This window comes from Homo sapiens, chromosome 6, assembly GCF_000001405.40.
Source record: "Homo sapiens chromosome 6, GRCh38.p14 Primary Assembly".
Taxonomy (NCBI): Eukaryota; Metazoa; Chordata; class Mammalia; order Primates; family Hominidae; genus Homo; species Homo sapiens.
The window spans coordinates 159,731,905-159,757,008 of NC_000006.12; the positions used below are offsets into that span (position 1 = coordinate 159,731,905).

The 25,104-nt window shown below is 37.2% G+C and overlaps 2 protein-coding genes across 11 annotated transcripts in view, besides 1 other annotated feature; one reads left to right on the forward strand and one right to left on the reverse strand.

Moving 5' to 3' along the window:
- The window catches only part of WTAP (WT1 associated protein), a 29,627-nt gene extending 5,212 nt beyond the window's left edge, over window positions 1-24,415 (forward strand). For 3 of the 10 annotated variants that reach the window (XM_017011514.3, NM_004906.5, NM_001270531.2), the window contains exons 2-8: window positions 4,354-4,391; window positions 7,086-7,141; window positions 10,184-10,242; window positions 11,761-11,888; window positions 16,287-16,465; window positions 21,556-21,710; window positions 23,124-24,415. In XM_017011514.3, coding sequence (XP_016867003.1) covers window positions 4,354-4,391; window positions 7,086-7,141; window positions 10,184-10,242; window positions 11,761-11,888; window positions 16,287-16,465; window positions 21,556-21,710; window positions 23,124-23,707 — 1,199 coding nt within the window. In that variant the 3' untranslated portion in view covers window positions 23,708-24,415. Of the gene's footprint in view, window positions 1-492; window positions 528-4,353; window positions 4,392-7,085; window positions 7,142-7,954; window positions 9,544-10,183; window positions 10,243-11,760; window positions 11,889-16,286; window positions 17,516-21,555; window positions 21,711-23,123 lie in introns of those variants that run through there. The other 7 variants (XM_017011516.3, NM_001270532.2, NM_001270533.2 and 4 more) reach the window with 4 other exon arrangements.
- Window positions 1-25,104, reverse strand: part of SOD2 (superoxide dismutase 2) — a 93,213-nt gene that overhangs the window by 62,836 nt on the left and 5,273 nt on the right. The window contains exon 2 of the mRNA NM_001322817.2: window positions 16,634-16,772. The gene's annotated coding sequence lies outside the window, so the exon portion shown is untranslated. The remainder of the gene's footprint in view (window positions 1-16,633; window positions 16,773-25,104) is intronic.
- Window positions 1,784-2,044: a silencer, noted in NCBI's record as "fragment chr6:160154720-160154980 (GRCh37/hg19 assembly coordinates)". NCBI's record gives its function as "represses an EF-1alpha promoter that drives an FKBP-Casp9 reporter gene in an ReSE screen in HepG2 liver carcinoma cells {active_cell/tissue: HepG2}" and the evidence as "EXISTENCE:reporter gene assay evidence [ECO:0000049][PMID:32094911]".

The following is a 25,104-nucleotide window of genomic DNA, read 5'->3' on the forward strand; positions in this document are numbered from 1 at the left end:
CTCATTTTTTGCTAAGCTTACTGTTAATTTTATTTTAGTGGAATAAGAATATGGATACCTGTCTTTAAGAAGAGAGTAAGCAAGTAAACCTAGGGAAAGTATCAGGTTGTAGAACCACATACCGATGATCCTTGCCAAAATCCTGGCATAGGAATTTGAACCCTGGTGTATGAAAAGTCTGCCCTTTGCATACTCAGGTTTCGCATCCCGTGAATGCTGTATTTTTGATCCGAGTACTGTATTTTTTAATCTGAGTTTGATTGAAAAAAATCCAAATATAAATGGACCCATGCAGCTAAAACCTGGGTTGGTCAAGGACCAACTATAATAACTTTTATAAGCTGGAATTTATATTGAACAGCATCCATGATACTTTAGTATTACAACTAAAGTTGTACATACTGAGTAGGTAGGATGCCTTAGTAACTAGATAAAAGGTATACCACCTAGCCATAGTGATAAATATAGCTGTTTTCAAACTGTCATTCACAGATCTCTACCACAGTACCTGTTACGTGAAGTTCCTGGTTGGTTCTCAAAATTTTATGTTCGTATATACATAGATACAGATACTGATATACCGGTTAAATATGTACAGCTCAAATAGCTAAAATTGTCTTTAAGATTTTTTAAATTAAAAATATTATTGGCCGGGCGCAGTAGCTTACACCTGTAATCCCAACACTTTGGGAGGCCAAAGCAGGTGGATTACCTGAGGTGAGGAGTTCGAGACCAGCCTGGTCAACATGGTGAAACTAAAAATACAAAAATTAGCCGGGCGTGGTGGCAGGCACCTGTAATCTCAGCTACTCTGGAGGCTGAGGCAGGAGAATCGCTTGAATCCAGGCGGTGGAGGTTGCAGTGAGCCGAGATCGCGCCATTGCACTCCAGCCTGGGCAACAGAGACCGGGCGCAGGGGGAGGGGGAGTGTCTCTGTCTGCTTCTTTCTCTCTCTCTCTCTCTCTCTCTGTATATATATATAGTGTGTGTGTGTGTGTGTGTGTGTGTGTGTGTAAAATTGATATTTAGCTCCAGACAAATGGGAAATTACAAGGAAATGCCAGATTTGATATCTGGGTTCTAAGACTTTGCAGCCTAATGCATGTGTCATGCTAAAATAGAAGTAGTTAGACATGTGGAGTTAAATATGGTGATGGTTTCTGAGATGATTAAAATGACTGCCACCAGGTTAAGGTAGTTACAAAGCAGCTTTCTGTAATGGCAGCAGAGATAATAAACTGGGCAACAAGGGAGGAACCAATTTAAAGAAAAAAAGAATAATATACATTTTATATCATAGTAATATGGTTTATGTCTTCATAGGACAGAGTGACTTGCTCAGTGAAACAGACTGTATACAATTAGCTCAGAAACAAATACTGAGGTTTTTATCTGTTTGCTGTATCCCTTGAGAAAGATTAAAGAGGGAAGGCAGGGTGCAGTGGCTCACGCCTGTAATGCCAGCACTTTGGGAGGCCAAGGCAGTTGGATTGCTTGCGCCCAGGAGTTCGAGACCAGCCTGGGCAGCATGGCGAAACCCTGTCTCTACCAAAAAAAATTACAAAAAATTAACTGGGTGTGGTGGCACATGCCTGTAGTCCCAGGTACTCGGGAGGCTGAGGTGGGAGGATCACTTGAGCCTGGGAGGTCAAGATTGCAGTGAGCCATCATCGCACCACTGCACTGTGGTCTAGGTGACAGAGCGAGACTGTCTCAAAAAAAAAAAAAAGCCCAGCACGCTGGCTCATGCCTGTAGTCCCAGCACTTGGGAGGCTGAGGTGGGCAGATCACCTGAGGTCGGGATTTCCAGACCACCCTGACCAACATGGAGAAACCCCGTCTCTACTAAAAATACAAGGAAGTTAGCCGGGCGTGGTGGCGCATGCCTGTAATCCCAGCTACTTGGGAGGCTGAGGCAGGAGAATTGCTTGAACCCAGGAGGCGGAGGTTGCGGTGAGCCGAGATCGCGCCGTTGCACTCCACCCCGGGCAACAAGAGCGAAACTCCATCTCCAAAAAAAAAGATTAAACAGAGAAAGAAGCAAGCCAGTAATCTAAGATCAATTTATGATTTTTCCTCTAAATTCTGCTTTCTTCAACACAATTTACTTAATCTGAAAACCAGGGTTTAATAACAGTATGATTAGAATGTTTCATTTATAAAGTGGAGTTGAGATTGTACGTAGTATAAAACATGCTGTTGGAAGATTATCTCCTTTTGAGGAATCTCAAAATCAAGTGGGAGAAATCAAGTAGTCTTGGTGTGTGTGTGTTTTGTTTGTTTGTTTTAATGAGAGACAGGGTCTTACCACATTGCCCGGGCTCGGTTCAAACTCCTAGGCTCAAGCAGCTCTCCTGCCTCAGCCTCCCAAAGTGCTGGGATTACAAGTGTGAGCCACCACACCAGCCTCAAGTAGCTTTCGAGATGATGCCACAGCACTCCAGCCTGGCAACAGAGTGAGACTCCATCTCAAAAAAAAAAAAAAAAATTCAGTTTAACATACCAAGCTTTTGGTCAAATTTCTAGTAGTTTAGAATTTATAATAAGTATGGGTAATTAAAATAAACCATAAACACTTTAAAGTAAGGGAAGATTCATGAGTATACTATTAGAAATAATAACTAGGGCTGGGCGTGATCCTTCCACAGGTAGTTCTAGCTACTTGGGAGGCTGAGATGAGAGTATGACTTGAGCCCAAGAGTTCAAGACTAGCCTGGGCACTATGGTGGGTCCCCATCTCTTAAGAAAGAAAGAATAGGAAAAACTAAATTAGTATAAGAACTAATTACTTAATTTGTATAAGTTATGAATATGCCAAATGCAATTTAGATGCTTTTTCAAAAGAGCACTGGTACTCAGAACCCTGATTCAATTTTTTAATCCTCATAGAATTTTTATATAAAGATTTTATGTTTGTCAGGTTAGCTCTTCATGTCGTATACTTTTTTTTCCAACCTTGTATTTTAATGTGGTGTTTATGTTTATTACACATTTTTTCTTTGTCTTTTTTTTGTGTGTGGATTTGTAGTTTAATGAATAATACCTGCTATTAGCATTCGTTCTAAAAAACAGCATAATAAAGTGTTCCCTACTTGAATTCATTAACCTATCTTTGAAACAGGGTTAAGTGAATTTTGTATAATAAAGAAGCTAATTTTGAGATACAAAATATTTGGCATAAAATTAAATACTGTAGGAATATTTTTATTAAGGTGTGACATACATGTGTATGTGAGTTTTTGTTGTTTGTTTGTTTGAGATGGAGTCTCTGTTGCCCAGGCTGGAATGCAGTGGCGCGCCATCTCGGCTCACTGCAACCTCCGCCTCCCAGGTTCAGGCGATTCCTGCCTCAGTCTCCCTAGTAGCTGGGATTACAGGCGTGTGCCACTACGCCGGGCTAATTTTTTTAATTTTTTGGTAGAGACCGAGTTTCACCATGTTGGCCAGACTTGTCTTGAACTTCTGACCTCAAGTGATCCACCCACCAGCCTCCCAAAATGCTGAGATTACAGTCGTGAGCCATCACGCCCAACCAGTGTAACATATATTTTAAAATATGTAATAGGATGGGCGTGGTGGTTCATTCCTGTAATCCCAGCACTTTGGGAGGCCAAGGCGGACGGGTTGCAATGTCAGGAGTTCGAGACCAGCCTGACCAACACGGTGAAACCCCGTCTCTACTAAAAATACAAAAATGAGCCAGGTGTGGTGGCACGCACCTGTAGTCCCAGCTATTTAGGGGGCTGAGGCAGGAGAATTGCTTGAACCCTGGAGGCGGAGGTTGCAGTGACCTGAGATCGCGCCACTGCACTCCATCCTGGGCGACAGAGTGAGACTGTGTCTCAAAAAAAATAAAAATAAAATATATAATATATCTAAAAAACTATTGGGCAGTAGTAAATTATGGCTGTGGTAGGTACTACCTTACTTTAACAACATAATGCTATAAAAGGAAAGACTTAAACTGGTATTACCCTTTTATAGTCCCTTAGCAACATGCGTAGGATACTACTTGAGGTCATTATATTTCTCTTCACCCTTTATGGCGACATCAAATGATTTGAATGGCTGATCAGCTTTTTTACGAGGGAATTTGTAAAAACTACCCAATAACTCTAATGATGGAAGATGTTAACAAAGGAAGATCTGGGTACAGAGTATATAGGAACTCTGTAATATCTTTGCCACTTTTTTGTAAATCTAAAACTATTTTAAAATTGTTTATTTAAATTCTAATTATTCAACAGTAATTTAGTTCACTAATAAATTGATTTGAAAGAGTCAGTATTTTTTATTCCTACTTTCACTGGAAGAAAATAAATTGAACTTGTTTTCCGCAACTTTTTTTTTTAGGATTCAAGATGACCAACGAAGAACCTCTTCCCAAGAAGGTATGGGTTTTGGTTTTGGGTTTTTTTGTTTTGTTTTGGGTTTTTTGGGGGCTTTTTTAAGCACTTTAAAAAAAAATAGACTTGAAGGGATTATCGTTGTTTGCTTATTTTTCATTTCTTTGCCTTTATAACAATAATAGCATTGGAGTTGTACAGTGTGCCAGATATTGTATCTTATATCCAGTATATTTTTTAGAATATTTTCAGATTTTGGAAAACTTTAGTTATAATAATATTCCCATGGTCTACTCTTAATGTTCATTATGTGAATATTTCCAGGTCTACTCTTAATGTTCATTATGTAAATATTTCCAGGTACATATATACAAATAATGTCAAAAATGGACATTATGAGTATATTATTATTCTTTTCCTAGTGTAAATCCCTTTGATTGTAATTAAAAACTACTTTATTAAAAAAATGGTTATAGCTAATTTTCAAATTCTACCTTTTTCTCTGAAGTTTTGTTGTCTAGTCTCAAATCTCCCCCTGTTGTGCATTCCTACCTTGAGTTTAATTACTCTTACATACACACACATACACACACACAGTGGCTGTTATAAAAGAGGTAACATCGTCTCTAGGAGGAATTTGTGATTCAATTGGGAAAGCTTACTAAACTTAATATTTAAGTGAATAATTTAGATATTACAGAAGTTTCCTATTGTGGAGTCAGATTACTCATTAAATGAATAAAGGATTGTATTATGCTTTCATAATCTGAGAATTACTGTGTGCTCCCTCTGGTACCCTTTGATTTTCCTCCCTTGGAACAGGGTCTTGCTCTCTTGCCCAGGTTGGAGTGCAGTGGTGCAATCTTGGCTTACTGCAGTCTCCGCCTCCTGGGCTCAAGCGATCATCCCACCTCGGCCTCCTGAGTATCTGGGGGCTACAAGTACGTGCCACCACGCCCAGCTAATTTTTGTATTTCTTGTAGAGATGGGGTTTTACCATGTTGCCCAGGCTGGTCTCGAACTCCCGGGCTCAAGAGATAGCCACCTGCCTCTGCCTTCCAAAGTGCTGGGATAATAGGCATGAGCTGCCTCTGGCAGCCTTTCAATATGTTACATTATAATAGTTCCCTCGTTCCATTTTATGGTAATACTATTTTACTGGTTAGTATTATAATTTGAAACATTTTTAAGGAAAAAAATTTAAGTGTCTTGTAAGGGAATACTAATAAAGCCTTTATTTTATTTTTATTTTTTATTTTCTGAGACAGAGTCTCACTCTGTTGCCCATGCTGGAGTGCAGTGGTACAATCTTGGCTCATTGTGGCCTCATACCCCAGCTTATGCGATCCTCCCACCTTTGCCCCCCAAAGTAGCTCAGACTACAGGTGTGCCACTACGCCTGGCTAATTTTTGTATTTTTTGGTAGAGATGGGGTTTTGCCATGTTACCCAGGCTGATCTTGAACTCCCGAGTTCAAGATATACTCCCGCCTCAGTCTCCCAAAGTGCAGGAGGCATGAGCCACAATGCCCAGCCAAAGCCTTAATTTTATACTGAGGTAGGAGAGGTATCTCACCTTTACAGCCTTTATTTGGTGTAGTGAATATACTGTTTCTCAATTTTTGAAGCATGTTAGCTTATGCCCTTCTTTCAGCTTTTTGTTTTGAAATAATTATAGATTCATAGGAAGTTGCAAATAAATGTACAGAGAGGTTCTGTGCAACTTTCACTGAGCCTGCTTCATTGTTAACACCTTGCGTGACTAGCAGACATCTCTAATAACTGTGAAAATCAGGGAATTGACATTGGTACAATCCACAGAGCTTATTCACATTTCACGTTATACTAGCACTGTTATTGGGGGAAGTGGGGAAGAGCTATATGCACTATTATCATGTCTAGCTTTGTGTAACCATCATTAATCAAGATACATATCTGAACTATCACCATAAAGCTTCATCGAGTTATTCTTTTATAGCCACATCTACCCCGTCCCTCTCCATGCCTGACCCCTGGCAACCACTAATTTATCTCCATTTGTATAATTGTTACTTCAGAGTGTTATATAAATGTAATCATGTAGTATGCATCTTTTTGAGACTATTTTTTTTCCTTCCACTTAGCACAGTTTCCTTAAGGCTTATACAAATTGTTTCATGTATCAGTAGTCCTGTTTCTTTTTATTGCTTAAAGTGTTCCATGGTGTGGCTGTATGATAGTTCAATCATTTGCCTGTTAAAGGACATTTGGATAGTTTTCAGTTTTTTAGCTTTTACAAGTAAAGCTGCTTGCATGTTTTCATTTCTTTGAGATACATGTTTAAGAGTGCAACTGCTGAGTTATATGGCACATTCATTTTTAGTTGTATTAATAAAAGGAACTGCCATACTTCTTCAGATACCATTTTTATATTCTCACCTGCAGTGTAGGAAACTTCAGTTTCTCTGAATCCTCACCAGCGTTTGGTGTTGCCACTAATTTTTATTTTAGCCATTCTAATCAGTGTGTGGTGATACCTGGGGTTTTAATGTGCATTTTCCTAATGATGATGCCCATTGTTAAGATACCAAATAGTTTACCTTAAAAAAAAAAAACTTTTGTAATAAAATACTTTTTCAAAAAATCATAATATGTACTGAGCCGTTTAAATCTCACACTTGGGAGATGTTTCATAGGTCTCATTATAGAACTTTGTGTCTTCAGGAAGAACACTAAATTCATATTGTAATTCTCTTTATAGGTTCGATTGAGTGAAACAGACTTCAAAGTTATGGCAAGAGATGAGTTAATTCTAAGGTAAAATGTTCTCTGTTCAAAAACAAAGTCTTTCTATAGAACATTATATTGTGACTCTACACTGTAATTGTCTTTGTGCCAGATATTGTTTTTAATGTTGTTCTATCCTCAAATAATTTAATGTACTTTTTGAGCATACTATGACCTATTTCTTATATTAACACCGAGGAAAACGTAACACTTTAAAGAACTACTAGGAAGCTATAAGTTTAACAAATATATGGCTTGTTTTGTGTAGTTTTTCCTTTCGTGTTTAACATTTGAAAAAGAAATGTAATCCTAAAAGATGCACTTATATTTATGGAAGAAATACATAATTTACTAATGAAGTGAGGTTACTTTTTCTTATTAGTGTGACCTTCACCAGCTCATATAACTTCATACTCTTCATTTTCTCATCTGTAAGTTGAAGAGGTTGGGTTAAGTTATTGTTAAAGGTGACTTCCAGTTCTGAATTTCTGCGGTTATCTTGTAAATGTCTTACAAAAGCAGATTGTCAAGTACAACGTATAATCTTTTTAGATTGTGTAAGAAATCAGGAAGTAGGATGTTCTGTGTTTTGTAATTTAAATATATTCTTTCTGTATTTTATTGCTATGGTTAGTAAGTTTCTTGATAACTTAGATAAAAATAAAATAAGTATTTTAACAGGCTGAAAGCGGAGGAGAGAAAAGATGTTTTGTGAGATAGGCTAACACAGATTTTGTTGTTTCCTAGAGTGTGACAATTTCCTACTTTCACCTTTGGACAGCTACTGTATTATGAACACACTTTTTACCTTTTTTTTTTTTTTTTTTTTTTTTTTTTTTTTTGCCATAATCTCATACATAGGACAGTTTCCATTGCATACCTTTGTCTTTCTGCACATAAAATTTAAATTTTTGTTATTCTAAAACACTTCTGTCTTATGCTGAAGTATATACTTAAGATACACTACTACTCAATGCTGGGTTTTTTTTTGTTTGTTTTAATGTGCATATAAATTATAATAGAGGTGAGGTGCTGCTCAGGCTGGTCTTGAATGCCTGGCCTGAAGTGATTCTCTCACCTTGGCCTCCCAAAGTGCTGGGATTACAGGCATGGGCCACCATGCCTGGCCATGATTTTTTTTTTCCCTGTCTCTGGCATTGTATACTTTTTTTAATGCCTTCTTACATAATTGCTCTGGTTAGTCTGTGCAGTCATTTTTTTGATTTAACTGTAGGAGGGGAAAAATCAGTAATCTTAATAAAGAATCATAGAAATGTTTTATTTTAAGATACCTTTAAGGTTTCTAAATCATATGCAGTGTATTTCCTTGAGGTCAGTTTAACATCTTTCCTTAGGGAATTCATGTAAGACTTTTAGGCGAGTTTTTTCTCTTTGATTCCCTTGGAGATTTTAAACCAGCTGCTACTTATTTAACTAGTCTGTGCCTTCTATCCTTGTGATATACATGTTCTTGCTTCAGTTTTTATATTTTTCTGTACTTCTAAAATAAATCGTTCTTTTATAGCCTCCACTGAAGATCTTTCTCTATACATCCCCAAATATTTGGTAAACTACGTGTCTTAGGTTGTAAGTGCCGTAAAAATAAAGCATGGCCTTGGCTGAACATCAGTGTTTACATAGAAAGTGGATTAGTTTGGTATTAGGAAGGTTTTTTTTTTTTCTTTTTTCTTTCTTTTTTTTTTTTTTAAGACAGAGTCTCGCTCTGTCACCAGGCTGGAATGCAGTTGCGCGATCTCGGCTCACTGCAACCGCCGCCTCCCGGTCAAGCGGTTCTCCTGCCTCAGCCTCCCAAGTAGCTGGGACTACGGGCATGCGCCACCATGCCCTGCTAATTTTTTTGTATTTTCAGTAGAGACGGGATTTCACTGTGTTGGCCAGGATGGTCTTGATTTCTTGACCTCATGATCTGCCCGCCTCGGCCTCCCAAAGTGCTGGGATTACAGGCACGAGCCTTTTTGTTCATTATGTTGTAATATTAATAACTCATGACAAGCCTGTTTTTAAGATTATAAAATGGTTTTCTAAAGCCAAATTTTAATTAATTGTACCTGAAGAGCAGCTTGAAAACATGGCTCTTAAGTATGCAGGATAGCAGACATTCAGGGCAGGGTGCTTTCCATTAGGAACTGCCTAATAAGACTAGGAAAAATCTTTATTGCTAAGAGGACCTAGCAGTGTATATATTCAGGGTAGAGAAGTATAATGAAGAACAACGGTCCCCTTGTATTCTGATAGCATATGGCATTTATGCAGGTTTCTGACAGTTAGATGTGATTGTTAAATTACAGTCTTGAAAAATGTTATATTCTCCCCCTGTGTTTACAGGCAGAAATTGATACTACCTTGAGAAGAGTCACATGGTATTTTCCCAAAAGAGCCAAGATAAAGAACCTTCAATTCTACATAATGAGGCACATTTCTAATATGCCTTTTGTTCTAAGTGGACAACATATGAAAGCAGCAGTGGGATTTTTTTTTCAGCTTCTATAATCCAGGATTATCCTGAACATCAGTGATATCAAAGTGAATCTGGGGTTTGATCTCACCCAGGGCATGCTTGGCATGTTCTCAGCAGAAAAAACCTTCTCTATATATCTCTTTTTACCTGTTTCCTGTAAAATGGGAAGGAATAATGAGGGACTATTTTATGATCAGTTAAACTAGATTTAGGCTGGGTGTGGTGACTCAGGCCTGTAATTTCAGCAGTTTGGGAGGCCAGGGTGTGAGGATCATTTGAGCTCGGGAGTTCAAGACCAGCCTGGGCAACGTAGTGAGACCCCATCTCTACAAAAAAATGAGCCATGTGCCTTTGGTCCCAGCTATACAGGAAGCTGAGGCAGGGACATCGCTTGAGCCCAGACCCTGTTTGCGCCACGCTGCACTCCAGCCTGGGGGACAGAGCGAGACTCTGTCTAAAAAAAACTAGATTTAAAATGAAAAATCCAGAAGAATGCTCAGTATTACTAAAATCTGTGAGTTTATAGATATCTTCTAGTTTATTTAATAAACTATTTTATCGTAACAACTAATGTATGGATTTTTTTTTATTAGATGGAAACAATATGAAGCATATGTACAAGCTTTGGAGGGCAAGTACACAGATCTTAACTGTAAGTTTGAGTTTTAGCTTCCTAAAGACTGAATAATCTCCTTTTGATTGTTAAAATCAAAAGGATAGTTGTTTTTATTAAAGCAAATGTAATTTTTCTCGTGTTTTATTATAAGAACTGTACATAGGCACTGTGTTGGGTGCAAGAAAATATAAAGATGAATGAGACACAGTCTCAGTCATTGGAGAAGACAGAGGTGTAATAGTCATGTAATGGCATGACTTAGCAAAATTATATGCAAGGTTCTGAATATAGATGCAGTAACTCAGAACTACTTGAAACTTTTCTTACTTGTCCCTAACCCCTTCTGCATAGGAATTTGACTTGAAGCATGAGTTACTAGTCTAGAAGAGAAATAAACAGAAGCAACCAGTAACAGATTTATGACAGCTTAAATCAATATATATAACTTAATAATATATACAGATTTTTTTAAATCTGCTGAAAATAACGTTTATCATTTTAAGCCATTTTAGTCTCACTTTTTACTGTTTGAATCACATACTATTTGTTGAGTATAAAAACCAATATATATTGTTTTGTAACTTCAGAAGGGTTAATACCCTGAAATTCTAATTTTGCGTGACTGTGTTACCCATAGAAGTCATGAACATTGTGAAAGTTTAAGGCTAGGCACAGTGGCTCACACCTATAATCCCAGCACTTTGGGAGGCCAAGGTGGGAAGATCACTTGAGCCCAGGAGTTTGAGACCAGCATAGGCAACATAGGGAGACCTTGTCTCTACAAAAAAAAAAAGAGTCAGGAGGATCACTAGAGCCCGGGAGGTCAAGGCTGCTGCAGTGAGCCCTGATTGTGCCACTGGACTCCTGCCTGGGTAACAGAATAAGATCCTGCCTCAAGTTTAAAATACAAATTGTCCAGCAGTTATTACTATTTTATTTATTTATTTGTTTGTTTGAGACAGGGTCTCGCACTGTTGCCCAGGCTGGAGTGCAGTGGCACAATCTGGGCTTAGTGCAACCTCTGCCTCCCAGGTTCAAGTCATTGACCTGCCTCAGCCTCCCAAGTAGCTGGGATTACAGACATGCATCACCACGACTGGCTAATTTTGTATTTTTAGTAGAGACGGTGTTTCACCGTGTTGGTTAGGCTGGTCTGAAACTCCTGACCTCAGGTGATCTACCTGCCTCAGCCTCCCAAAGTGCTGGGATTACAGGCGTGAGCCTCTGTGCCCAGACAGCATTTTTATATTAAATAGGTTAAAACATACTAATCAGGATTTTGTGAATACTGTATAACACAGATGTTTTCTGTCTTCTGTTGGGAGTAGATGAAACTATAAAAACATAATTTAGTTAGTAGTCATGGAGCACTATGACACCATTGTCTCCTAAAGGAGCTCTCGTGACCAGGAAGAAATTCGCCTGTTATAAAAGTAGTTAGGATGGAAACTAAAGACTTGATTAATTTTTTGACCCTAGTTCTTATTGTTCTTGACAGAGGTATTTAGAACTTGATCTTAAAATTGTATTTATAATTTTTTTTTGAATCATCAGCTAATGATGTAACTGGCCTAAGAGAGTCTGAAGAAAAACTAAAGCAACAACAGCAGGAGTCTGCACGCAGGGAAAACATCCTTGTAATGCGACTAGCAACCAAGGAACAAGAGATGCAAGAGTGTACTGTAAGTATTTCAAGTTATATAAATGTCTTTAGTTGAGGAATTGGTTTTTAGTCCACATTATTACATGTTAATTTTAAACATTTAATGCTAAATATAAGAGCTTATCTTTTATAGGTACGTATGCTTTGAGCTTTAAGAATACTAGATGAAAAATTTTGATAATGTCTCATTTAGACTGTTTTTTGTGGCCAAGAAGGCAAAGTTTTAAGTTTTTTTTGAAATTTTCATGCCTTATAAGTATTAGTTCATCAATTCCAGACATTTTTCAGATATCTTGGTGTCTGAGGATGTAATCAATAAAAGAACATTTGCTCTTTATTGCTTTACTTTCACTGATTAGGAAAGCCATCTGAGGACTTTATCTCTGTTCTCTTGTCCCCTCTGTGTATAGAACTGTTTTTCCTAGTGTCAGCAACCTCTTTAGTGTCTCCTTTTTAATTGTTAGAACTTTGATGTGTACTGTGTAGTATTTACTATGTCTACGTAGATCTGAAATCTAGTGACATAATTGATCATCCAGCTCTGGTAGTTTAGGCTCAATCTTACGGTGTAATTATACAAAATAATTAGAGGCAGCTGTATCCTTGTTTCTGATTTTAAAATCTGAATGTTTCTTCAATTCTTTGTGTACTCTCCCTTCATTTGGTACATATAGAAGTCTTCTTATGTGTTATTAAAGTCTTCTAAGATAGTATTCTGGTCATTGGAGACACCAAAAATCTATGGGCACAGTCCTGTTCTGTTTCTTTTGCCAATAGAATGTTCCTTAAGGTTCAGTCACAGTCCTTTTACTTCCCTTACAGAGATTGTTTAAATTTCCACAAAAGCACGTATTTACTCTTCTTTCACTTGTTACTAAATGACTTCTTCACATTTTACTTTGCTAAAGGCTGGCTTTTATCATTTTCTTTACTTTTTTTTCCCACTAACCCCCCCGCCCTTTTCTTGAGACAGGGCCTCTCTCTCATCCAGGCTGGAGTGCAGTGGTGTAATCACACCTCACTTCAGCTTCCCGAGTAACTGATTTCAGGTGTGCGCCACCAAGCGCAGCTAATTTCTTAATTTTTGTAGAGATGAGGTCTTCCCTATGTTGCCCAGGCTGGTCTTGAACTGCTGTACTTTGGCAATCCTTACTCCTTGGCCTCCCAAAACTGTTGGGATTATAGGTGTGAGCCATCGCACCTGGCCCATTATCATTTTCTCTACCTTCTTAACACATTTTGTCCTTTTGTTTCTATCAGTTTTGTTGTAATTCTTACCACCACTGATACTTCTTTCTCCATAGTTACTAATGAATGTTTTAACAAATTTCCCTTTACACGAGAAATGGATCTTACCTTTAGACTGCTAGCACTTGGGAGATAGAGTGTGAATAGAAGGTGTTGATGGTAATATCTCATAGGATCAGAATGTCTTGAATTCCATTTCTCTTCCGGATTCCTACTCTTGACATCATAGTTGATGTGTGCACATCACAATGTTTGTGCTATTCATGCACATCTGATTCTCCATCTGTCCTATATGCGCTGGCAGTTTTGATCATATTACGCCTGGTCAAGGCCTTCGGTGATACCTCATCACTCTTGTCTCCTCGACCTGGATTTTAAGGTTATTTCAACTATAATGGAACCTAACCTTTTCCAGCTTTTTTTTTTTTTTAAAACAGCTGTCACCTGCATACGCCAGCTGAACAACTTCCTGTTCTTCCAATTATAATACAAGTGAGGTTTTGCAGACAGGGCAGGGCAGCAGGAGCAAAATCACAAGGAAAGGTCAAGATTATATATGGCAGATGAGGATAAAGTTTCAGGTGAGAGTGAAAAAAGATGAGGTCAGCCTGGAATCTTGGGTATTCTAGAAGAGAGGGGACTACTGAAGAATTCTTCAGCAAGAGATGTATGTGATGGATCAGATTTAGATTTACATTTTAGGTAGATCACTCTGACTTGAGTATGAAAGATAGATTTGAGAGGAACAGGACTTTAAGCAGGAAAACCAATTGTGAGGCTGTTAAAATAGTTCAGATGAAATACATGAAGCCACTGGTGGTAGCAGACAGGACAGAATAGGTGTTTTGGAGGCACAATCAATAGGACTTGTTTAGTTTGGATGCTGTTGTGGAAGGAATGAAAAAAATCTAGGGAGGAATCACAGCTTCAGGTTTGTCTTGTTTGACTGAGTAACGATGCTACTAGGATAGATCCTACAAAGATCAAATTTTAAAAGAAGAGTAGAGTGTGGTGTTAGGAAAACAGGAAATCCAGCATTCCCTCCTCCTTCCCCAAAATACAAAGTGATTAAAACAAAGGCATACATAAAGTTCTGTACAATACGAATTTAAAATTGTTCGTTAGATTTGGCAGTTAAGAGGTTGTTGGCCAAGGAAGCCAAAAGATTGGATACCCCTGCTCTAGAGGAACTGTCAAGTGGGAAGTGAGAGAAACTAAATTTAAAGAGTAGAAAGAATGGGAGTGATGTACTATAGGAGTTTGGAGGGAATAGGTTAAGCGAATGGTTGAAAGGATTGGCCCTGAGAAGGAGGGTTTCTTACCCTCTTGAGTGAAAAATAGTGGAAAGGTTTGTATTAGGTACCTGTCCTTTAAAACAGAGCTGCTGCATTTACCCTTGGTGTTTCAAATTAAGCTAAGCTTAGAAAAAATAAAATATACATCCTTAGGAATCTATTTGTGTAGATCTTTTGTTTGTCCAGCATACTAACTCATCCATTTGATCTTTTAATAATAATGCTTTATTTCTTTGTCTACATGCAGTCTTTGCCAAGTACATCAGTAGTCAATTTAGTTAGTTTTGAGCGTAAGGCATAAATTAGCCACGTAGTTACTATATTCTTAACTATATACTGTATTCTTAACTATATTTTATTTTGTTGGTAAGTAAAATCTGTCATTTTTGTTCACCTCAGTGGTATTTCTGTTTTTCATTTAGTCTTTTGCCAATCAACTCAAAATAGATTTAGGAATAAAACTAACTTTGAAAACACTTTACTCAGTGTTCTCTTCCCTAGAACATGGAATTTATTCTAGTCTGATTCACCTCTCTTTTCATGAATGAAAGTGTTGACTATTGGGTCTTTGTAAAGCTAAATAGTAACTGAGTCTCAGTCAGTGCTGTAGACTGTTTTAATCAGTCCTGTCAGTACATGGAGTGCACTGTAAGTCATGGTTTATTCTCGCTCTGTTATCTTAGCAGCTGGCTTCACATTGACTATGCAGTTGTACTAGATTTTTGCTCAGTGAAACAAATATATTCCCAAACCACTTAGTATATTTGTTCCTTTTACTAAATTTATATTAGAAAATTTTAACTGTAATCCTATTTAAGCCTTAGTATGGAGTTAGATCTTGGGCCAGATCTACTTTGAGTATGAAGAAAATGATGAATTTAATGCTAATAACTATATTTCATATTTTAGAAATGTATTTTTAGTGTGCTAGTAAATAGCACAACTGAAGTCGAAATTGAAGGTTTCATATGTAAGTAGAAGGGTTCTGGTATGGTGGAAAAAGCTCTAGACTGGGAATCAGAAGGCCGGAGAACTAGAATTGTAGTCCCGCTATGGCACTGAACTAAACAGTTGGGTTATTTAATCTCAAAATAAGCAGTTTGGATTAGGTGAGTTACTTTCCAGCTTTACAATTCTATGATTCGGATCTATTCAGAAGGGGAAAAATATGAATTATACTTTATTTTGGCTTAAGGTCCTATAGAGTTTTGCTTTTATAAAGCTGTAACAGCAACTCTTGTAGCTATAAGTACTGTATATTTTTTCCTTTAGAAATTCAAATGTGTATTTTAAGTTATAATCTTGCACCTGATGTATTTTTAGGGGACTTTACATAGAATAATTTCCACAGGTAAAAAATTAAGCAAACCAAAGACTTCATTAACTCTTAGGTAATTAATATTTTAAACTTTGCTTTTTTCCACTGGGTTGTCAGCATTTTTAGTAAATATAATGTTGATTTTCGTTTGTTTTTTGGTAATGTTTGGATTGTAAAGTAAAATGTATGTAGCCACTTTAAGTCCCAGATTTGGAGATGTAATCAAATGGCCTCAATTCCTAAGTGAGTAACCTTAAATAGTTATTTTTTTAATTGACAAATAAGTTTTTTACATATTCAAGGACTACTACATAGTGATGTTTCAATACATATAATGTATAGTGATCAGATCGGGGTAATTAGCATATTCATCAAATAGTTTTTAGTCTGTACTTTTTCTAGAAAGTTTTAAGATTTTTCTAGAGAATTTCAGGATCAAAGAGGGGAGGAGCTTAATGAAAGAGTTGGTAAATCAAGTGAATGGAGGGAGTTTTCCCCACCTTCTTATGTATGTTTCCTTTGATTTGGTCGTAATTGTTTCTTTTGCTTTGCACAGACTCAAATCCAGTACCTCAAGCAAGTCCAGCAGCCGAGCGTTGCCCAACTGAGATCAACAATGGTAGACCCAGCGATCAACTTGTTTTTCCTAAAAATGAAAGGTGAACTGGAACAGACTAAAGACAAACTGGAACAAGCCCAAAATGAACTGAGTGCCTGGAAGTTTACGCCTGATAGGTAAACAAATCATACTCCCCAGTCAAGACTTCCCTGACAGTCCCACTACGAGAAAGCTGTGGTGGGACAGCCAAGTACTCGTTTCCACACCAAGACTCAGACTTTTTGAGCCAAAAAAAAGCCACATTCTTACACTGTCCAGCTTGTAATGGTTAATGTAAAACTTACCAGATGAACCTTGTGTTTCAGCTTTTTTCTTTTCCCCTTCCCCTTGCTTCAGAGGCCTGATGGCGTCGGACTATTCCGAAGAAGTGGCCACCTCCGAAAAATTCCCCTTCTAGAACATGTAGACACTTGAGAAATGTTTCTGTTTGAAGAAAATAGAGGGAGAAACAGAAGTCTTAAGTCTGTGGCACACTGTGTCTTCAGACAGTTTGAAGGAATGAAAACCTAGAGATTTTAAATCATGAATTGAACATGTAAAATTCCAGTAAAATGTAAAAACGGAATATGCATCGCTCTTAACCTTGAGCATAGTGACTTAGAGACACTGTGTATCAGTTTTGCCAATAAGACTGTGGACTTCATGATTGTTGTTGAACTTCTGGGTCAAAACTCAAATGAGGTGAATTTTGCCTTTAAAGGGTTTATTTGCTGAGAACCAACTTTCAATAGTCATGAGAGAATCAAATAATAGATGTCCGTACAAGTAGCGCATATATTTAACCATTTAGTTTGGGGCTCTATATTACTTGCTTGAGCCTTAATCAATGTGGTTTTATTCAATGGTTTGTTCTTTGAATGGTTGCAAAAACTGTAGATAATCTTACTGAGGACTGTACAAACATGAAGGTGTGGTATCAAACTTCAGGTTGAAACTGTTTGAAGCATTATAAACATTCATTTCACAACTAGATTGTATAAGGATATTAGCTGTGATGAGACTCACTGCATTATTTTTTTTAGTGAATTTTATGAAATCCCCGTTCCATTCAACAGGCACATGTTTAAAAGAGCTTTGTCGTTGGTGTTAATGGGGGAATGTGTTCCTTCATTGTATTTGGGCCTTTTGTATTGCACTCTTGATATTAAATTAAATGTGCCTTGAAATAGTTGGTTTTTTTTTTTTTTTAAGTTCAAAGAATATTATGATGATTTTGTTGTACTCTTTAACATTTTAATTTGGGGCGGGGAGGGCCTGTTGAGAGCAGATTCATTTTGGAAATACTGTTGCTGTGCTCTTCAAAGTGAAGGAAAAGGCGCTGTGCCTCATTTTTAAAAGACCTACATAAAAGACAAGGAGACTTGACACTTGTTACTTTTATGACACTTTGTCCCAGGGTATTGCAGTAGAAAGTAATGTGGGACAGCTTCACAGGGTGTCTGCCAGAAGATAATGTGTTGGAACTGTGGGCTGGCCTAAGTAAGACATTTTGTGAATTGAAAAAAGGTATAGTGATCATTTCTAGCAAATTCATTTAATCATTTAGATAAATGAGGCATTATTTTCTTCATGCTTCCATCCAATCCTGGAGGTGAATTTTTTCCGTCAGATCATTCTATAAGTCACCAATTCAAATTTTCGCTTGGTGATAATGGAGTCTAAGATGAGTGGAAGATAAATGTTCCAGCTTGTCCCAACGTTTAAGTGCAGTTTTAACAAGGGTGACTTAAGTTCTCTCTTAATCATTCAAATCAATTGTAAGTATCATATGTTTGTGCTTTAGGGAACTGATTGTGGGGCAGAGGGTGGGTTGAAGAAGTGGTTTGTGTGACTTTTCAGCAAGAAATCTGCTTCTAAAATTCTCACTATTTGTGAGGGTTGGAGGGTAAGTAACCAGATCTGTTTGAAATTAGCTTATGTGCTTGCATTAAGGCTTTTGTAAATATTTTATGCCATTTAAGTTCACAGTAGAAATGGCCTAAGTATCTTTTTAGTAGATTTTAGTAGAAGAGTAATCCATAAAATGTATTATTAACATGTACTCAAATTGAGCAGGCATCTTTCTTTGACACTTAGATAACAGTCATGAGTTCTATGGTTTTTTTCTTGTCATTGTTAAAATTTTCTCTTTTAATAAGATAATACATGCTTATGTATAAAATTGAAATACTGTAGAGAAAGGGGGAGATGAAAAGTGAGTGTCACTCCCGGATGTGACCTTGACATCCTCATTCTCTTCTCCAAGAGCAGTAACTGCTATTACTTTTTCTTGGGTATCATCAAGATAATTTCTATGCATATACAGTTATTTTATGTATATTGTTTTAAACAAATGTGATCATACCATAAACACAGATGAGTTGCACCTTGTTTTTTTTTACTTGGTCTCTTTGGCATTTTTCCATTTTTTAATGTATCTAGACAACTACATTTTTAATGCTTACATAGTATATTTCCGTTATATTAAGGAATCATAATTTATTTGAATCACTTATAAATGGATTTTTTTCTATAAAATTGGCTGTAAGCCAGAGTATATCAGGTACTATAAATACATCACTAATTTGAAACAAATAATGGCTCAGGCAATCCCGTCTGGAATATTTCCAGTGGTGGAATGGGTTTTGCTTTGGGTTGCGTGCACGCGCACGCACGTGTGTGTCTTCGCTTTACTGTTTTTCTGTTCTAATTTTGAGGAAGAAAGATTCCCAGAAATAACCTGTCCAGTTCAGTTAAAATATTTCATTCATGTGAGAATGCACACATTTTAGAGTGTTTAGAGGTATATCTTTCAAAGTGCTTTCTATTATGTTTGTGGGTTAATCGATTTTAGGAATGGGTTGATTTTTTTGTTTGTAATTTTAAAAAATTATTTCAAAAACAACTACTTGTAATTAAATTATTTTTTCAAAACTGTGATTTTGTTAAAATTTATTTTACTAATCACTAGTTTTAAACGTGATATGACTATCTTAGCTTAGACATTTATTTATTAAAAGGTATGACTTTTTAAACGAAACCTTTTTTGCATTAGAATTTGTGACATTTTTATATGGGGTTAAGTCAGGTCACAGATTAATGTATCTTACAGTTGTCTTTTTCTACTCTTTAAAATTCATATAGTAAGAAGGTTAGTTGTAAACACCAATGAAATATATATACTTTGCAAGAAGACAGTTTTGAGAGCATAGGCAGTAAAGTGGAAGGAATTCCATTGTTTTTGACAATCTTGCATATCTCTCATTTTCCCATTGTTTAATTTCTAAGTGGATGTTCAGTGGAGGCTAACGCCTGAGAGTGCTGATGGGAAATGGTGGAAATCTGGAGCTACAGTAGCAGTGAACAAGAACACCAGCTAATAAAGTTATCATATCAAAGAATAAAGCCTTTACCACATGCTCACTGGTGGCTTTCACCCTCGGGCTCCTCTGAGCAGTAGTAACCCAGGTTGAACTCTTCAGGTATTTTCTGGAAGAAAGCTTAATTACAAACTTTTCCTTGAATTACATTAGGTTAGAAAACATGCAGCCAGGCACGGTGGCTCATGCCTGTAATCCCAACACTTTGGAAGGCTGAGGTAGGCAGATCACTTGAGCTTAGGAGTTTGAGACCAGCCTGGGCAACAAGGCGAAACCCCATCTCTACTAAAAATCCAAAATTAGCTGGGGGTGCTCGTGCACACCTATAGTCCCCAGGTACTCCGGAGGCTGAGGTGGGAGGATCACCTGAGCCTGGGGACGTCAAGGCTCCAGTGAGCTGAGATCACGCCACTGCACTCCAGCCTGGCAACACAGTGAGACCCCCATCTCAAAAAAAAAAAAAAAATGCTGTAGGTGAAAGAACCATGCAACACTTCAAAGATTGATAAAATATTTACAAAATGCTCTCATTTTTAAACTTATAAGGCATACTGAAGTAGTGTATCAGGCAAGTGAAAGCCTCACTAGAAGAAGGAAAGACTAGAATTTAAAAAATGTTTTAACCCATAAGGTCATCCTGGACTTACCCCAAGGACAAGAATGTCACACTGTCTTTATCCAAGTCTCAAAGGTAAATATCACAATTATTTACTTAGATCCCTTTAAAAGTGATCATTTCTTTTTTTTTCTTTTTTCATAAATAATTACAAGAACAAGCAAATAATTTCTCCTTTTATTGCTGAGGCTAAAGAAAAGCAGTAAAATTTTATTGGGAAACATTTGAGCTTTTCATTACATATTTGCAATTGCTATGTATGTGCACATAGGTTCAGTAGTATGTTGCACTAGCATTTGGAAACTATAATCTGTGGAAAGTGTGACACTCCTAGATTGGCAGATATTTGCGTGTTTGAATTGTGATACGTGACCACTGGTCTTATTTTTGTGTCAAAAGGATGATCTTTTCCAATAAAGTCTTAAGTCTTTAAAAAAAAAACCTTAACTGCTGAATGTGCCTCAATTAATATAATAGATAATATTCTTGAGAGTTATGGAAGATGGATGTACCAGAAAACTTCCCTCTCTCCTCCTCTTTTTTGAGACAGGGTCCCTGTTTCCGAAGCTGGAATGCAGTGGCATGGTCACAGCGTCAACCACTTGGGCTTAAGCAGTCCTCTCACCTCAGCCTTTCCAGAGGCTGGCACTACAAGCATGTGTGCCTGGCTACTTTTTAAAAAATTTTTTGTAGAGTTGGAGTCTATGTTGCCCATGCTGGAGGACTTCCTGTTAAGGAAAATCCTTATTAAATGTTTTTCTAGCAAGAATAAATACTCTCATTCATTTTTATTTGTAGGTACTGATTTTCATAAATATTTGTGATTGATGTTGCATGTACCTTTTCAAGAACTTTTCTGATAAAGCGCTAGATTCCTTAGTGTAATAATACTGGTATAGCCAAGGTGTGTGTTAATTAACTGGCTCTGTTTCCATTTCAAATGATAATTTGAGATGAAAATAGATGGATTTCAGAATTGATTATTGATGTAATAGAAACAAGGTGTAGCTGTTTGGGCACTTTTTGTTTAGGGTTTATTTTTACTGCTGTGTTGGCAAAATACTGAAATGCAGAAGATGGATGTGTCCCAGAAAAGAAGATGGTAATTATGGGGAAGCATCTGCTGTGATATAGTTATGTTTGTATGTGTTACATCTATCACTGTAATAATTGTAAGCAAAGACAGAGAGTTTTGTCTTCATTTTGTGATGGATGGCTCTTTCCTTTGCAGCCAAACAGGGAAAAAGTTAATGGCGAAGTGTCGAATGCTTATCCAGGAGAATCAAGAGCTTGGAAGGCAGCTGTCCCAGGGACGTATTGCACAACTTGAAGCAGAGTTGGCTTTACAGAAGAAATACAGTGAGGAGCTTAAAAGCAGTCAGGATGGTAAGGGGTTTGTTTCTTTTTGGAACGTTGTCTCAACTTTGCATTGGCTTTTTAAAACTGCCAGTCATGAATATTATAGGTTAGATTCTGTACATTGTTAACCTCTGCCCTATGATTGTATATTATTGTGAGTGAAGCATTTTTAGTTGAGTCCGCAAACAAAGCCATATAATTTTAGTTTGTTTATCCCCACCCTCCTAATTCTTTATTGTTCAAAATTTCTTACATTTTTGTTTTTAGTTGGGGGTAGGATTTGGTAAAAGATAAAAGGGTGTTGTATTACTTAACAAGATGGACAAATTTGTATTCATTGTTTGAAAGGGAGAATAAGCATTTCTCGTTAAGTGTAAATCTTAGAAACATGGGCAGTTTTCAGCGATCTGAAAGTAATAAAGTTGATTGTATCTGTGAAGGTTTTATTAGTGAATAAGAGATTTAATCTTTAAATTTGCTGAGATAAAACTTGTCAGCCTCCATCCTTTTTAGTGCAAGTGTAGCTGTATCTCTGTTTCTCTTCTTTGTAAGGTGCATTATTAATAAGGAAAATATCCAAATTCTTTGAAATTTTAAATTGAAAATTAGTGTCTCTGGTTAATTGCAAAGATGATCAGTAGCCAAGTAATTTCTTCTGAACTACCTACCTTTTCAAAATCTTCAGGAATTATTTCCTGTGACTTTTGTCCTTTTATATGTAACAGTCCTTGGTTGAGAACATGGGCCTCTTTGGAGTGTTATAGAGGACCACACTATCCTTAAGGATCAGACTTGCTATGGAACTAAGGCACTGGATCAGGAATAAGGGGATTGGCCATAGTGGGCCCATAGGTAAACGTGAGTCAAACTTTGGGGCTGTAATCAGGCATATGGCAAGATGGATCAAAACAATTTTAACTTGGTTGCTTAATACAGTTGCCCTCGGTATCCATGGTGGATTGGTGTCAGGACCTCCCACAGTAAGCCCCTCATATAAAATGATGTCATATTTACATATAAACCTATGTACATCTTCCCCTTTGAGCCATCTCTAGATTAACAGTACCTAATACAATATAAATGCTAGGAAAATAGTTATTTTACTGTATTGTTTGGGGGATAATGACAAGAAAAAAAATCTGTACATGTTCAGTATAGACCCAGTTTTTTCTTCCTTGAATATTTTCCTTCTACAGTTGCTTGAATTCATTGTTGCATGTGGAGGGCCAACTGTATATTATTTTAAGTATCTGACTTCCCCCAAAACAAACTCAGTCATATTTTAAGATTCCAAGCAAAATTTTTAAATGTAGTGTGATTTTAGAATTGTATTTGTTTACTTGAGCGTTTATTGACTCCCTTGCTTTGTGGCAGGCACTAAAGAAACATTTTTCAATGTTATAAACGATATTAAAGTTGGTCTGACTCTCCTTTGCACAGAACTGAATGACTTCATCATCCAGCTTGATGAAGAAGTAGAGGGTATGCAGAGTACCATTCTAGTTCTGCAGCAGCAGCTGAAGGAGACACGCCAGCAGTTGGCTCAGTACCAGCAGCAGCAGTCTCAGGCCTCTGCCCCAAGTACCAGCAGGACTACAGCTTCTGAACCTGTAGAACAGTCAGAGGCCACAAGTAAAGACTGCAGTCGTCTGACAAACGGACCAAGTAATGGTAGCTCCTCCCGCCAGAGGACGTCTGGGTCTGGATTTCACAGGGAGGGCAACACAACCGAAGATGACTTTCCTTCTTCTCCAGGGAATGGTAATAAGTCCTCCAACAGCTCAGAGGAGAGAACTGGCAGAGGAGGTAGTGGTTACGTAAATCAACTCAGTGCGGGGTATGAAAGTGTAGACTCTCCCACGGGCAGTGAAAACTCTCTCACACACCAATCAAATGACACAGACTCCAGTCATGACCCTCAAGAGGAGAAAGCAGTGAGTGGGAAAGGTAATCGAACTGTGGGTTCCCGCCACGTTCAGAATGGCTTGGACTCAAGTGTAAATGTACAGGGTTCAGTTTTGTAATATTTTTTCAGCAAATTTTTATACAGTGTCATTTAATTTGGGAGAGGATACTGTCCAGAAAATTAATGCATACTTTTGTCACAATTTGCCTTTTTGTGGGTGTACGTTTTGGTTTTTTTTTGTTGTTTTTTTTCTTTGTTTTTTTTTTCTTTTCTTTTTTTTTTTTTTTTTTTTTTTTTGCTTCAATACTTCTGCCGCTTTGGAAATTGTAACAGTTAATTACTTTGAATGTTGCTAAAAGGACATTTTGTGTAGGGTCAAGTTATTTTTATATGAGTTAATGTGAAATTGTAAATGGAAATTTTTCCTTAAAATACAACACAATGATGTCTGTATAAATCTGTCTGTTTAGAATCTGTGCTGTGTAAGGGCATTCGTACTCATGCTGTTACTGTACTTATGCACCATTCAGACTTGTTAGAGTAGATGTGGGTTTATGACTGCCAAGTTTGCCCAGTACAGTAGTTTTTTATCACTAAAAGTTGGACTCATTGATGGAGTCCTGTAGTAGTTTCAGTGTTAGATACAGTTTTTTCCACCATACATCTGTGCATTTTCTCTTTAGGTGACTGTTTAAGAAATTTGTGTGCATAGTTACTCAGTTTTTATGAACTGTTGTATCCTGTTAATGCATATTGCTCTGTGACTCCAGTATATCTTACCTGTACTGACCAAACCTAAATAAAGATTTTTATTGTAACTCCTTAATTAGCTTTTTTGTTTTGTTTTGGGTGTATGTTTAGCATTTGTCATTTTCATTGAGTCATTGAATTTCTACTCATTATCCTTCAAGTACCACAACAGTCAAACTTAAGACCAAGCATCGATTACGATTTTGCACACAATTTTTAATTTATGCCTTATTTTGCAAAACGGAGCTGGAGTTTAGGGCTACACTTAAAATTTTTTCTTGACTTATAATTGTTACAAAATATTTTAAAATACAGAAAAGTATAAAGAAAATAGTCATCTATTTCTTAGGCTTTTTTTTTTTTTTTTTTTTTAATTGAGACAGGGTCTTGCTTTGTCACTTAGGCTCAAGTGCAGTGGTGCAGTCATGGCTCACTGCAGCCTCAAAGTCCTCGACTCAAGTGATCCTCCCACTTCAGGCTTCCGAGTACCTGAGACTATAGGCATATACTACCACACCCAGCTACATTTATTTTAATTTTAGTAGAGACAAGGCCTCGCTATGTTGCACAGGCTGGCCTCAAACTCCTGGCCCCAAGGGATCCTTCTGCCTTGGCTTCCCAACGTGTTGGGATTGCAGGAGTGAGCTACAGCTCCTGGCCCTTTTTGAGTTTTAATTGAAAAGCAGCGTTGGTTTTTTGTGACCTGATTTCAAGTAGAGTATCTTTGTAGTTAGTGATGTTTGTTTTAAAACGCTGGCCAGCACT